Below are 16,138 nucleotides of genomic sequence, written 5' to 3'. Positions count from 1 at the left end.
TACCCTTTTCATTTGTAAAGACTCAGAAAAAGCTTGATATGATTCATATCTTAGAGAGATGGCTGTAAAAAGTTCTTTCAAAATGAATTTTTTATCAGATATATTATCTGTTGTTGTCTGTAGAAAATTTTATCCATTGGCAAGCCTGTTTACTTTTCAATTTTATAAATGTGCTATTTAAAGGCAGCCTTACCTTTATTGCTCCACCTCACAGTTTCAGTTTGAAATTTTCATGTGGGTTTGATTTACCCTTAATGTCTCTGTTGGAGGTGGTGTCACCTTCTTTAGCATCATTTAGAGCCAGTTCCAGCTCTGATTAGCTGTGCATGTCATCCGACATCTAGCGCAGTGCATGGGCATGGTGATTTATCCTCATTATTTGCTGATGAATTATTGTGAAAGCATATTAATGAACTATAAAGTACTTCAGAAGTAGAACGTATTTTAAGTATAGTTGTTCGTTACAAAGAGACATAGCTCATGTCCTGGAGGATTTTAAAATCTTGTTGATATTTGTAATTGTAGACTCTATCGATTGCCTGGGCTTTAGAGGATGTTTATAATTTATTTCAAAAAAAAAAAAATATTTTCCCCTTCCCTCCCAAAACTGACTTTCAAAAACAAGTCCTAGTTGGAATAAGTGGATGAAACAAGGCTTCATTCTTCAGAGAGTGGTAGCTGTGTGTGAGAAGGTTCGCTATAAACTCTTTCCTGTATCTCTCTTCATATACATGTCTTAGCTGTTGCTGTCCATGAGAACAGGTTTCTGATTTATGTAGCTTATTTGCTTCCCTGTTTACCAATGCTCATAGCATAGCTATTTTCTTCTAACTGCTCAACAGTGAATGTTCATGGACTAAAAATGAGCATTTCTGAGGCACTGTCAAATTTTTTAAAAATTAATATTATCAAAGAGTTAATCTTATGATTTGCCAGTGTTATTGATAGAGGAGTCTTTCTGGCTGGGTTAGTATGGGGGGTTTCATTTTAAGCGAGGCATAAATAGCTTCTTTGCAGCTTGTGCCTTGGTTCTGAAAGTGTTCAGAAACCATGAAAAAGAAAAAACCACATTTCTTTTGAAATGAAAAAAGAAATTCCTCATGTGTTAACAGTTTAAAGTGTTCTATAGATATACTTTGGGGAGAAAGTTGCTTTTTGGCAAGAGTATTTCTTTTTTTCGTCTTTTTTTTTTTTCTTTTGAGACAGAGTCTTGCTCTCGCTCTTGCCGCCCAGGCTGGAGTGCAGTGGCGTGATCTCGGCTCACTGCAACCTCTGCCTCCCAGGTTCAGGTGATTCTCATGCGTCAGCCTCCTGAGTAGGTGGGATTACAGGCTCATGCCACTATGCCTGGCTAATTTTTTATTTTTAGTAGAGACAGGGTTTCACCATGTTGGTCAGGCTGGTCTCGAACTCCTGACCTTATGATCTGCCCACCTCGGTCTCCCAAAGCGCTGGGATTACAGGCGTGACCCACGGTGCCCGGCCTGGCAAGAGTATTTCAAACTATCTGTTTTGATTGTGTACTCCTTACTTTGAAAGAAGAAGACATGCCTGTAACTTTTTTCCCCTGTTAAGAATCTTTAGCATGCATTTCTCTCTGGAGATGAACATGTGTTCTAATTTTGATACTGAGAAGCTATGATTCCTTAAAGGTTTTCTTGGTTCTAATTCAGTTACTGACCAGCTGAATCTTGGCCCTTGTGCTCTTTGAGTCTGTGTGTGATTATCTGTCGGATAAGACCATGGGCTAGATGGTCTCTCAGCTTCCTTTCAGCTCTAACAATTCCAGTATTTTCCATGTTGAGTATCTTTTAATCAGTGTTTCCTTTATTTTTTCGTTACAACTTAATGTATTCTCCTTCAGAGGCATGGGGCATATAATTTCATGGATCTTTCTACACTAATATTAGTACTATGGGAATTCTGAATACCACAGCATGAGCATTTAATATTTCAGACTGTGATTATTATTAGAATGTGTTTTTCCATAAAAACATAGAGTTTATAAATAACATTTCATGGAAGGATAACAAAAGATGGACTAATTTGATTCTGATTTAGTCAAATGGAAAGGGAAATAGAAAATTTATATTCAGAAGGCTTTATGTCATGTATTTATGTCACGTATATCAATATCATATTGAACATGAGGCTATTATTGGCCATTTTACCTTTTATCTATTATGGTGTGTGTATGTACTCACAGTACTAAAAAAGATGTCACCAAGTCAAATGCATTCTTTCTTTCATTCTCTATCAATGCTGGAATTCTGCATAATTCTCCCATTTAGGTGGTTCTCCCATTCCTCAGTTCAGCCCTAGCCTTTGACATATTATATAATATATTAAATACTGCACACCCCAGTTCACATCTACTTTTGCCTCAAAGGCTCCCTTCCCTAATTGTATCTATCTGTCAACCTCCAGCCTGTCCTCAATACCTCCTCTCTGAGGTCTTCCCTTACCATCCCACCTGGCTGGGATTTGTCCCTCTTGTGAACATGTGTAGCATTTTCCACCCTTCTCACGACACTGAGAAACATTAAGATATTCTTGGTGTGCTATGGAGAATGAACAAACTATTTATGATTTTACTTCCTTGACCTCAGAAATGATACTGTTTTGTACCCATTCTTTCTCCAGATAACGAAGCTGAAAATAGATAGCAATCCTTTTGCCAAAGGATTCTGGGATTCCTCCAGGCTCACTGACCTTGAGAGGTAATGAGAATTTTCTGTTTACTTTCTTGTTCAGATAAGATCAAGAGAAGAGGGAGTTTGTAACAACACACTCCTTTCGACACCAGAGAATCATAACCTTACTATATATAGTCTTCTATTCTCTGCCCCTATTCCTTGTACATATGCAACTGCCTAAGTCTGACAGCTACTGTGACTGGATCTATTATATGCTTAATTTCTGAGTGAAATAGTTTCTTTGGTCAGGACATTTATTCTACTATAAAAAATAGGGCTTTGTTGTTATTAAAGACTTAGTCCTCTTTACATTTTTAAGCTTCATGTCTCAATGAGTGGCAGTCTGTAGAGAAATAGAACCTTGGTAGCTTTTTACCTTCCCAAGTAGATATATTTGCTAACACAAAGAGTGTAAGGGTAGTTGGGGAATTTTAAAACAAGGAGATGTAATTTAATTCAAGGTCACATAATTTTACCAATATAGTAGACTGCTTTTATTTAATAGGAGAGACATCAGGCGTCTAAGAAGACAAGTGAAATCATGTGCCTGTAACGTACCCTACTTTTTATTCAATTAAAATGGTTCATGCAGTTTGAGACCATTGAGGTGATGAGTAATGACTATATGGAGATACATATTTTGCCCAGTATGAATGTCAAAAATTGTTTTTCAAAGAGAAGATTTTTAAACCTAATTGATTATTTTTACTTCTTAAACACACTAATTCTTTTATGTGGCCCAATGTCTTGATTGACCAGGGAAGTTCCCTAGCCACCAGAACCACTGATTTTCTTATCTCTACATCTGTGTAATTTCCCTACTAACTTCTGCACATTTCTGCTGCACTCTTTGTTACCTACATAGCCACATCTGCTGACCTCAGCACTTCTGTCTAATCTATCTTGGCAACTCAAATTAAAAGATAATTACATATTTTAACAACCTCTGTCTCAGCCTTCCTAAGCCTTCCCAAATGGCAGAATGTGAGGCGGAGGTTTGATTTAGGGGAACAGACTTAGAGGCTCAGTGGGGAAGCAGAGGAGCAAGCAGGAGAGGCTGAATGTTGGCCAGGAACTATGGGATTTGAGCAGAAAAGAAAGATTAAATAGTTGGAGAGCTGGACAAGTTGGTTGGAAGTGTTGGGATCAGGAAAAGAAACTTGAGCTTGTGATTGAAAATCCATTGCAAAGGGCAGAGAGAAGGCAAGTGGTAACTCTCAAGTTAGGTGGGATACAAATCACTGAGAATGAGGTACCAGCAGTGTGGGCAACAAAGGAGTCCACTTGCAAAAGGCAACTTCATTTAGGCATGACTTTATTTCCTGTTTCTGAGGGCCAGAAGCCCTGCTGCAGACCGGGTTTATGCAGTTGGGATTGTTATAAGTGAACTTTTTCTCAGTTTTATTCAGGTATTAAATAAGAATGGAGACAATGATGCAGTGGGGTGATAGTGATCTGTTTTTATAGTGTGTGTCATATTTTCTGTCTCAGACCATGGGGGTACGCATGATATATTGGGAGAAAAAAAAAGTTAGGGCTTAGAGTCTCACCTCTGCCTCTTCCTGGGTGAGTGATCCTGGAGAAGTCACCAGACTTCTGAGTCTGTACACTCATCTAGAAAATGGAAAAAATAACCCTGCTCACCTCAGAGGTTTATTCTGAGAATCAAATAAGCTGGCATTTATGACAGCATTTTATAAATCTAAAAATGTAAAATAATTACAAGTTCTTCATCTTGTTATATGAGCATTTCATCTAACAACTTTTATCCCATGTAACTCTATGTTTCATAGTCTTAATAAACTACTCCTAGAGTAAAAATAGCCTTGTAGTTGCACATTGGTTTACAAGATAGGAGGTACTCAGTCTGACTGCTCTTTAGAATGGCAGATTTGATAATGCATGTGGCCACATTTTCCACTTATTGGATAAGCATCCTGATGTGGGAGCACTCACATGTACATGAAGCTAAGTAGCTTTCAATGGTCTGAGGGCAAAGACAGCACTCTTATATGACTAGCTGAAAGTTTGCAAGATGACCTAAGTAGTGTGAAATTGGCCGAGGTTTTGGATTTCATTTCCAGATATTTAAGTCTGAATTTTTCATAAACAGCCTTTGGGGATGGGACAAATCAGATCAATTGATCTTTAGAGACCTAAAGAAATTAAATTAGTCTGAGTCAGTTACTGCACTAAACCATCTAGTAATTGAATTGCTCCTTGTAACTGATTGAAAACAGCCCTATCCTTAACAATATAGGGAGCTTTTCTTTATAAGAGATCTGAGAGAAAAACACATCTTTTTATGACATGATGACAGATATTGCACTTTTCTAACCTAATTGAATATGATGTTATAAATATGTGACCTTAATGATTTCAAGTTTCCTGTTTCAGATTTACAGCTTAATGTGTGGGACACCCAAACAAAAATGCCTTTAGGATTGGATCTGTTTGCCTGTACCTCTAAATTCACAATTTTAATCCTTCTACAGCTACACAAGCTTTTGAGATACTCTTAAAGGTGTTTTAGTTTTCTTGCTCTAATTTTACTAGGTTCCATTGAGGTACTTGAATGTCTCACTTTGTGTGTAGCCTTACTCTTCAGGGACATCGTCTTCCTCATTTCTAAAAGAAAACCCACCTCACTGGCAAAAATAGAAAGTGTTTTCATTACTGCTTTGTAATATACCTACTATGGTCAACCAAGAGGCAAACCAAAAGCCCAAAGGGATATCTTTGTATAATCTAATGTCTAGTTTCTCAGATTGGGAAAACAATTATTGGCTGGTTCCATATAATAACAAGCTTTAGACAGTCATTCAGTTGGCATTTTATGTTTCTTTTCTGGGGGGATGTGGTTCACTTTGTCCAGTACACAAAGGCACAGTGTTACTTCTGAGAAAAGAAAAATAACTGGGAGGAGTTATCTATGTTTTATTCAAAATTAAGTTTCTTTTAATAAATTTTTTTCTTTTTACTAAAAGAGTTTGTGTGCATTGCCAAAATATCAGAAAATACGGACAAGTAAGAAAAAGCATAAAAAAGCAGTTAAAACCCATTTCCTTAGAGATGACCCCTGGCAAAACCCCATTATATATTCTTTCAGGTACTTTCTTATGCACGTATGAACATTTACTTCCTTTAAAGTTTATCTTGTCAACCATATTATTTTTAAATATTTCTCCTTAATATAAATAGATATATGTCTGCAGCACACTTTTTATTGGCTTTCTAATTTTCCATTATGTGCTGTAATTTATTTGACTAATCCTATGCATTAGTTATTTAGGTTTCTGATTTTTTGCTGATACAAATAGTGCCAGGAGGAAAATGCACATCTTTACACATCTTCTTAATTATTACCATGAGATAAATATCCACAAATTGAAATGCTGAGTCAAAGGATGTATTTTTTTTTATCATAGTATTATTTTTAATTGTTTAAAAATTTAGAAAAAGAACCCAAATATTCAATAATAGGAGAATGGTTTAATAAAATTCATAGTCATGCAATGGAGGTTTTAGAAATTGTGGTAAAATATACATAACATAAAATTGACCATTTTAACCATTTTAAAGTGTACAATTCAGTGACATTAAGTACATTTATGATGTCACATAACCATCACTGCTATCCGTTTCCAGAATGTTTTCATCATCCCAAACAGAAACTCTGTATCCATTAAAATAACTTCCAATTTACTTTCCCTTCGAGACCCTGGTAATCTGTATCCTACTTTCTGCATCTGTGAATTTATCTAGTCTGGGTACCTCATGTAAGTGGAAAGATGTATAGTCATGAGTCACTTAACAGAAGGGCTGCATTCTGAGAAATGCATTGTTTGGAGATTTTGTCATTGTGAAAACATCATAGAGTGTATTTACACAAACCCAGATGGTACAGCCTACTACACACATAGGCTATTTGGTATGGCCTATTGATCCTAGCCTATAAACCGTACTGTGCTGCATGTTACTGTACTGAATACTGTAAGCAATTGTAATGCAAGGGCAGGTATTTATGTACCTAAACATTAAAAAGGCACAGTAAAAATACAGTGTAAAACATAAAAAATGGTACACCTGTATAAGGCACCTGTATAAGGCACCTGTATAAGCTTAAGGTCTGGAATTTGCTCTGGGTGAGTGGTCAGTGAATATGAAGGCCTAGGACATTACTGTACACTACTGAAGACTTTATAAACACTGTACACTTAGGCTACACTAAATTTATAAAGAATATTTTTCTTTAAGAATAAATTAACCTTAGCTTATTATAACTGTTTTACTTTTTAAACTTTTTATTTTTTTTAACTTTTTGACTCTCCTGTAACATTTAGATTAAAACATACACATTGTACAACTGTACAAAAACATTTTTTCTTTATATCCTTATTCCGTTAAGTTTTTTCAATTTTTTTTTTTTTTTTTTTTTTTTTTTTTTTTTTTTTACTTTTTAAACATTTTTGTTAAAACCTAAGACATAATCACACACATCAGGCCTACCCTGGGTCAGGATAATCAATATCACTGTCTTCCACCTCCACATCTTCTGTCACTGAAGGTCTTCAGGGGCAATAACACACATCTCCTGTAATGATAATGCCTTCTTCTGGAATACCTGCCGAAGGATCTGCCTGAAGCTGTTTCACGGTTAACTTTTTTTTTTTGATAAGTAGAAGGAGTAGACTGTGAAATAATTATAAAAATTATAGCATAGTACATATACAAACCAGTAACATCATTGTTTATTATCATTAATCAAGTATGATGTATTTTATACAAACATGTGAGTAACATGTTGTGCTGCTGCATTATGATGGCTATGATGTCACTAGGTGATAGACATTTTTCAGCTCCGTTCTGATGTTAGGGGACCGCTTTCATATATGTGAAACGTTGTGGGCTGAAACATTGTGATGTGGCACATGACTGTATATGTTTTTAAGGCATTTTATGCATACTGCCAAGTTTCCTTCAGGAAAGGTTGTTCACAGCAGTTACCATTCCTTTACACCTTTGTCCGACATAATCATCGTCTTTTCATCTTTGCCAGTTTCATAGGTGAACATTTGTATTTTCTCCTGGGAATTGGCCTGTTTATGTCCTTAGGTTTTTTTTTTTTTTTTTTTTTTGGATTGTTCACCTTGTTCTCTAAATGAGCTGTAAAAGCTACTTATGTATCAAGAGTATTAGTATTTTATTGTTCATATATGTTGGAATCATTTTACCAGTTTGAAAATTAGCTTTTTATTTATGCTTTTGATACATAGATGGTTTTATCACCAAATCTGTTGCTCTCGTTCTTTGATTTCTATCCTAGAAAACTTTTCTCACTCCAAAATAATACAAACATTTACTATAGGTTTTTTAATCATCTTACTGCTTTTTAGTTTTTCATTTAAACCTTTGACTTGTGTAGTATTTATTTTGGTAAACATTATAAAATAGACATACAACTTTATATTTTTTACAAGTGGCCTGAATACTATTAATATGTATTTACTAACGTATTCATTTCCCACTTATTTTTCATTCTCCCTTTGTCACATGCTGTACCAAATTCTTATGCATACTAGTTCTTACAGTCTCTTTGTTGAGCTGCCAGTATCATATTGTTGTAATTTTCATAAATTGTAAATACTTGATATTTAAATATCTGATATGGCAAATCCCAATCATTTTTACTTGTCATTTTAAAAGTTTCTTGATATTCTTTTATCTTTATGCTTCCAGTCTTTGAAATCTTTTTGTCAGGTCTTCTACATAAATGTTACAGGAATTTAGCTTAGGCTTGTGTTGAATTTATATAATAACCTGGGAGGGAAAATTGATATCTTTACAGTGATATCAGTATTCAAAGACACATATTCCTATTCTCATCTATGAATATGTAATATGTTTGTCCTCTTTCTGAAATCTCCTGTGTTATGTAGCACTTTGCTGTTTTCGTGTTTGTACGTTCTGCACAGATGTTCTTAGGCACACATCTAGGCCTATGAGAGCTGCTCTGTCTGATACAATAGCTGCTGGCCACAGGTGGTTAGTGAAGATGTGAAATAATACTGTTAAGTGTGCAAACACACAAGCAGGTTAACTAACTACCAAAAACCACTAGAATTTGAAGACTCAGTATGAAAAAAATCATTTAAAAAATATCAATTAGATATATTGAAATAATAATTTGGGTTATTATGTTACATAAAGTATATATTTTCATTTTTTTTAATGTGGCAACTGGGCTTATCTAAAATTACATATGTGACTCACATTACATTTTTATTGGAAAACACTAGGGAGATTTTTGGAGGTGCTTACTTTTGTAAAGAGAATTTTAAATTAGAAATCTGCCTAATTTAGTCTGCAAAAAGCTGTTGATTCCTATGTGTCTTTGGCATTGTGCCATTTTACTGAACTTAAAAAATCAGTTTTAATAAATTTTCATTTCAGTCTCTTGTGTTTTCTAGTTAAATTGCTATATCATTTGCAAAAATGATGATTTTATCTCTTCCTTTCTAGTAGTTATACTTTTAAAAATATCTTTTTCTTGTTTTATTACACTGATTGAAATTTCTGGGACACCATTGAAGGATAATAATAGTTGGTATTTTTCTCTTGTTCTTGATTCATTGCATATGGTTTTTGGTGGCTGTTGGTTTCAGAAGAATATTCTTTATTATACCAAAGCAATAACTTTCATACCTAAATTAATAATTTTTATCTTAACATTAATTGAATTTATAGTAAATGCTCTTTTAACATCTATTGAGATTATTTCCTTTTTTTAAAATTTTAAAATTTTAAATGACATTATAATATAGTCATATTGTCTCTGTTGAACCATCCTTATATTCCTGCCTGGAATTTTTTTTTTTTTTTTTTTTTTTTTTGAGACAGAGTTTTGCTCTTATGGCCCAGTCTGGAGTGCAGTGGCGTGATCTCAGCTCACTGCAACCTCCACCTCCCAGGTATTTTTAGTAGAGACAGAGTTTCTCCATGTTGGTCAGTCTGGTCTTGAACTCCCGACCTCAGGTGATCCGCCAGCTTCGGCCTCCCAAAGTGCTGGGATTACAGGCTTGAGCCACCGCGCCCAGCCCTCCTGCCTGGATTTTATTTGTTTTTCTTAAATTACTGGATTTAAACTACTTACATTTTATTTAAGACCTTTTGTATCAATCTTGAAACAATTAGTTGATTTTGTACCTTCTCTTGTCAGTTGTTGGTATTGGTTTCTGCTAATTTGTTCAAATTAATTGAAATCTTTTCCTTCCTTTTATTGTCAGAATCAGTTTGAAAAGCAAAGAAATGATGATTTACCTGAAGATTTTATAAATCTTGTCCATAAATTCACCTGGGTGCAGTATTCTTTTGGGGAATACCACTTTAACAACTTTCTTAGTCTGTTCCATTGTTTATTGGTCAAATATATGTTAATGTCTGTCCCACGTAACTGTTTTTGTCTCAAGTTCTACTTTAATCTTATATGGCTACCCTTTTTAAATTTTTGCTTTCTTTTGTTTACCCTTTAATTTTTAAAAATCCATAGGACTACAGCAATATTCTCTCTCTCATCAATATCCTGTCATTTTCATTAAGAAGAAAACAACCCTTTCTTGACCCCATTTGTCTTCTGAATTACTGACTTTCCCAGTTCTCTGCTCCTTCTTAAAGTTCCTCAGAAAAAGTTTTATATGTTCTCTTTTCCCATTTCTTTCCTCCCTTTCTGTCTTCTCCTCTGCCTCTGAGACATTCATCCCCACTACCCTCTAGTCCACCCTTATCAAAGTCACCAGTGATCTCCTCATTGCTAAACCCAGTGGTCAGTTCTCAGACCTCATCTTCCTTGGCCTGTCAGCAGCCCTTGGCACAGTCATTCGTTCTCTCCTCTTTCCTTTCTGGAAAGAGGCTTCCCAGACCACTCAGTCTTCTGTTTTTTATTCCACTTCATTTACCATGCTTTCTGTATGTCCCTCATTGGCTCCTCCTCATCTCATTCATCTGTAAACACCATGTGTTCCAGACCTTAGTCCTTGCACTTCTCTTCTCAGTCTACATCTGGTCTCTGGGTGCTCTGTCTCGGTTTTATGCCTTTAAGTACCATTATATGCTGATGACTATTGAACCTACATTTCTGGTTCTGGCCTCTCCAGATTCAAATATCTGACTGGCTATTGCTTTTAATTTTCCCTGTCCCCCTAAGAGCACCTCAGATTTCACACACCCTATACCTGGCTGCCTAACCACACTCCTCCACACCTACTCTTCCCTTACTGTTCCCATCATAGCTGCTCATAACTGCATCCTTCCCAGTGTTCTGGCTGAAAAACTTGTAGTCATCTTTGACTCTTCTTTTTCTCATATTTTACACATCCAAACAATTAACTCATCTTGTCAACTAATCCTAGTCCAGAGGAGTCCAACTATTTACGGTCTTCACTGCTACCACTCTTATCTAGGCCACTGTCCTTTCTTTCCTAGATTATTACATTAATTTTCTAACTGATCTCTCTGCCTTCATTCAATATTGGCCTTATTTTTATTCAATACAGCAATCAGAATAATCTTTCCAAAGAAAGGAAGTTTGATCCCATTGCTCATACTCAGAGCCCTCCAATTCCTCACCTTCTAATTTAGGGTACAATCCAAAGTCCAGATAAGGCCTCAAAGGTTCTGTAGAATCTACCCCACCTGACCCAGTTGCTTCTCTGAACTCTACTCTCCTCTGCTTGCTGCCTTCACCACACAGACCTGATTACATTTCTTGAACACGGCGAGGGCTGTCCCAGCCTGAGGGTCTTTAACCTTCCTACTGGATTGTGCTGCCCTGCACAATGGTCAAAGCCTTTGCGTTTTGTTTCCTGACCATATCCTCAGATCCCAGAATAGTGTCTGGCACACAGTGAGCACCCAAATATTTGTTGAGTGAGTGAATGATGTGTCTTTATAAAAACAGCATACAGAGTAGCTGTATTTTTAAAGTCTTATCTAAGGGTCTTTATTTTTCAATAGAAAAACTTAACCCAGCTTCAAGCATTATGATAACTGACATGTTTGGTGGTGCTTCTTTGAACCATTTCTGCTTTCTGTTTAATATAGCTATTGGCTTTAGTTTTTAATCTTTTTCTGTCTTTTGTTATGTTTATCAAGTTTTTTTCCCTTTATTATTAACAATAATGGCCAACACTCCACATGTGCCATGTGTCAGACAATGGGCTATATATATATATTTTATTTCAAAATAATCATATAACAAAGAAACTTATTCTTATTTTGTAGATGAGATCACGAAAGCTTTGAGAGACTAATAATTTATCCAAATTCCCATGATTTGTGATAGCTGAACCTTAAACCCAGTTTAGTTCATCTGAAACCAAAATCTTTTCTCTACTCTTCATTATATTTCTTTTTAATAATTATTGCCTTTAAATTCCAATAGGACATTATTGTAAAATTGATATTTCTCAATTTTTTGCCAAGAATTAAAGTATATATTTTGTTATCCTATAAAATAGGATACTACTCCTCCCTCAGCCAGTAATTTTTGTTTCAATAATCTGGGACTTAAAATCAGATTTTTAGCCCTTGGTCTTTCTTATCATCTTTCTTAAATTATTTTCTTAATGAACATCAGGATTGTGATAGATTAGCCACAATTATTTTTAATTTAATTGTAGGCATATTCACTGTTTACTGCTCATTTCTTCTGTACTCTCTTCAATTATTGGAATTGTGTTCTGACTTTATTGTCAGTTATTGGTAAACATTCAGTAATTGGTTGAGGAAGGATATAAGTGGGTCATCTTCTTTATGAGTTCTTGCATAACTGAGAGGCTCCATTGCCGTTATGTATGAACCTGACTAGAGTCACAGTCCTTTTGCTTAGAACTCTTTCAACCTTCCTTTTAAGTATTGTCATCTAGTTTTGAAGTATTGTGGAATAAAAGCTAATGCCAAACCCATTGTCTTTCTTTGTTGGAAACTTACTTGTTTCTTCTCTGTCTGGACAAAATGTTTCTAGAAAGTTTTCTCAATCTTTGAAATTCAGAAATTGTATCATCTGTTCAGTTGTAGTGTTTTTATTAGTATTTAAATATAACTGAGCCTTTTCAATTGAAAATTTAAGTCTTAATTGAGCTCAGGAAAATTTTCTTCTTTTCTTTTTCTTTTGATATTTGTTGTTTTTTTTTTTTTTGCCAAGACTGAAAGTGTATATTTTGTTGTCCTATACAATAGGAAATAGAGGTTTTTTTGTACTTCTCCCTCAATGAATAATTTTTGCTTAAATAATCTTGGACTTAGAATTTTATTCATTGGTCTTTCTTATTGTCTTTTAGAAATTATCTTCTTAAAGTTAATGTAAACATATGTTGCATCTCCTTAATCTATTCCCCATTTATCTTCTCTCTTTAGATTTTAACTCTGAATTTTGGGAGAACTTCTTATATCTTCTAATTTGCTGATTCTGTTTTCTGCAGCATCTAATATTCTGTCTTCTGTCTTTACTGAGTTCCTTTAAAATGTGAGAATTTCTGTTGTGTTATTTGTAAGTGTAATTTTACATGCTCAGATTGTTTCCTTTTCATGGCTACTAGTCCCTGTTTTATTAATACAGGGTCTTCTTAAATCTTACTAAAATTTTAAAAGCACAAATTAGAGATTTTAAAATGTGTCCTTCTGTTTCTTGCAATAAGTCTGCTTCAGAAGAAGTCATTTGTTCTGCTCTGTTAATGAATTTTCTTTTGAACTGTTGAATATTTTGTAATGTCCAGTTATTTTTCTTTAGCTCATCTGTAGAATAGAATGTCTCTTTAATATTAGGAGCTGAAATCGATCCTGAGTAAAAGCCTGAAGCTGTTTGTTAGATCTTCCAGGTATAGACTGAAGAAGGGACAATACATTTATTGTCATTTTACCAATGTGGAAATTCTGTTTAAGTTAGAGAGTTGTCGCAGATAGATAAGGAAGTAGTTTCTGAAAAAGGAGTGTTGACCTGGCATTGATGTGGCTACCCTCTCTGTCTCAGCAGCTAGAAACCAGCTGGGGCAGTGGTGGTTCCCTCACCTAGCACAGCAGCCTCATGCCCTCCTCCAGAGCTGGCCATCGTGATGGCCCACACTGTTCAGTGTGCCAAATACACCATGTGCTGGCTGGGAGGGCTGCCGTGGGATTCCTTCCTCCTAGACTCCAGCTGCGTGGCAACCTGTTCCCCAAAGAACTGCTCAAAGATCTGCTTTCATCTTTAACCCCATTTGCTCCAAGTTGGGGTTTTGATGAAGTTCCAACAGAAGCCTTGTTTATTTCCACCCCGGGTATCTTTCTTCCTGATGTGCTGATGGATGGCATGCCGGCTGGTGCTGCCCTTACTCCTTACCTGTCTGTGGCTGAAATATTTTAATATATAGTTGGCACCCTCCCTCATTTCTTGAGTTTCTCGTTTTCTTGTTCATATTAGTAGGTCAGGGAATTAAATATAAAGGCTTATTTCACCCTATTGTCCAAAATTCATACTAAGAGTCTGTATAAAAGTGACTTTAAAACCACTTGCACTGAATAAAACTTTCAAACACATGAAGTTTGGACGTAAGCCCGGTGGGATTTGGCCCTTTTTGCTCAGAGCTCAGGTGTACTCTATTAGTTTAGGTGAGGAAGGAGACTTTAGGAAAGCAAGTTGCAAATCTAATATTCTGGGAATTTGTGGAAGTTTTATCTGCATCAACATAATGAAGAAGTAAACATTTTGGCAGAGTTGCTAAAGAAGTTCATGGTTGTGAATAATTCCTGGGTCTTTCATAATAATTTATGGTGCTGGAAAGAAACCATTTTTGGTTCTAACACAGCTCTGGGCTGGGTTGTAGAGTTTTCAAAGCATGTTTCCTTAGGAGCAGTGCAGGGTCAGTGGGGCACACATCTAATCAGGTAAATAGCCTAAAGCAGGGGTTGGCAAACTGCAGCCTGTCACCTGCTGGGTACAGCCTAAAGCTAAGAATGGTTTTTTACCTCTTTAAATGGTTGGAAAAAATTTTAAAGTAATATTTCCTGACATGTGAAAATAATATGAAAGTAAATTTTATTGCTTACCAATACAGTTTTATTGGAACACGGTCTGTTTTTTTGTTGTTGTTTAAGTATTGTATGTGGCTGTTTTTGTGTTACAATGACAGTGTTGAGTATATGTGACAGAGACCATATGACCTGTAAAACTTAACGTATTTACTATCTGGCCCTTTACAGAAAAAAGTTTTCTGCCCCCTGCTCCCACTGACCCACAGTGTTCCCCTTGAGACCCACATTCTGTAAGAGGAGTCACAGAGCAGACTAGGCTTCTGAGATAGAGGAGGACAGCTGCATCACCTCTGCTTGGAGGGATAGGATCCAGGAATACAGTGGTGCTTAGATGTATCTTAGTTCATCTGGGCTGTTATAACAAAAGACCATAAACAAGGTAGCTTATAAACAACATTTATTTCTTACAACTCTGGAGGCTGGAAAGGTCCAAAAGCAAGGTACTGGCAGGTTTAGCATCTGGTGAGGACATGCACTCTGCTTCATAAACGGTGCCTTCTTGGTGGAAAGGGCAAGTAAGCTTCCTCAGGCTCTTTCATAAGGGCACTAGTGTCATTCATGAGGGCTCCACCCTCTCATCCTAGTCATCTCCCAAAGGCCTGACCTCTCAATATTGTCACATTGGTGATTAGGTTTCAACACGTGAATCTTTAGGGGACATAAATGTTCAGACTATAGCAGATGTCAGAACAAAGAGACAGAAATCAAGGAGTGTAAATTGAATTTTATTTCTGGAATATAGAGCAACATATTATAATATTATAATTCTGTAAAAATGGAAATAACTAATTATTAGTATGTGCTTTATTCTTTCTCACATATAAAAAAGTAAAAACATATTTTAAAATTATATTATATACTAAAGTGGTATTTTGATTTTAAACTTCCAGAATATAATTAATTGGTTTTCTAGGAAGTATGTATTTTGAAGTTAGAGTGAAATTTAGGAGTTACCTAGTTTATCTTTGTCATTATAATCACACAGCAGTTAGGGCCCCAGGAGCTCAAGTGACTTGCCCAGTGCCACACGAATAGTAGAAGACCTGGGGCTAGAACTCAGGGTTTTTTGCAACTAGTACTGGGATTTTTCAAAACAGTTGTTTTAAAATTTTTACTTTCGTTTATATGTTTACAGATCTATAAATCATTAAAACCATAGTAAATCTTCAAGATTGTCTAATCCATTCCACCACGTCTTTATTTTATAGAAGTTCCTTACTTCATAGAAGATACCAAAGCCCAGATATAGATAAAGAATCTGAATGCACAGCTTCTTGGGAAAGAAATAATTTTCTTTAAATCTTTAGCAAAGATAGACTTAGTATAAAAGTCTGCATGCATAAAATGGAAGCAGATTTGCTTGGTAGACAGATTAA

General features: G+C 35.6%; 1 pseudogene; it reads left to right on the top strand.

Annotated features, from left to right (window-relative positions):
* LOC100418730 (T-box 20 pseudogene) overlaps positions 1-16,138 on the top strand; it is a 40,189-nt pseudogene that overhangs the window by 6,812 nt on the left and 17,239 nt on the right.

This window comes from Homo sapiens, chromosome 12 (genome assembly GCF_000001405.40).
Source record: "Homo sapiens chromosome 12, GRCh38.p14 Primary Assembly".
Taxonomy (NCBI): Eukaryota; Metazoa; Chordata; class Mammalia; order Primates; family Hominidae; genus Homo; species Homo sapiens.
The sequence above is the reverse complement of the archived record's forward strand: the minus strand, read 5'-3'. Positions and strand labels throughout refer to the sequence as shown.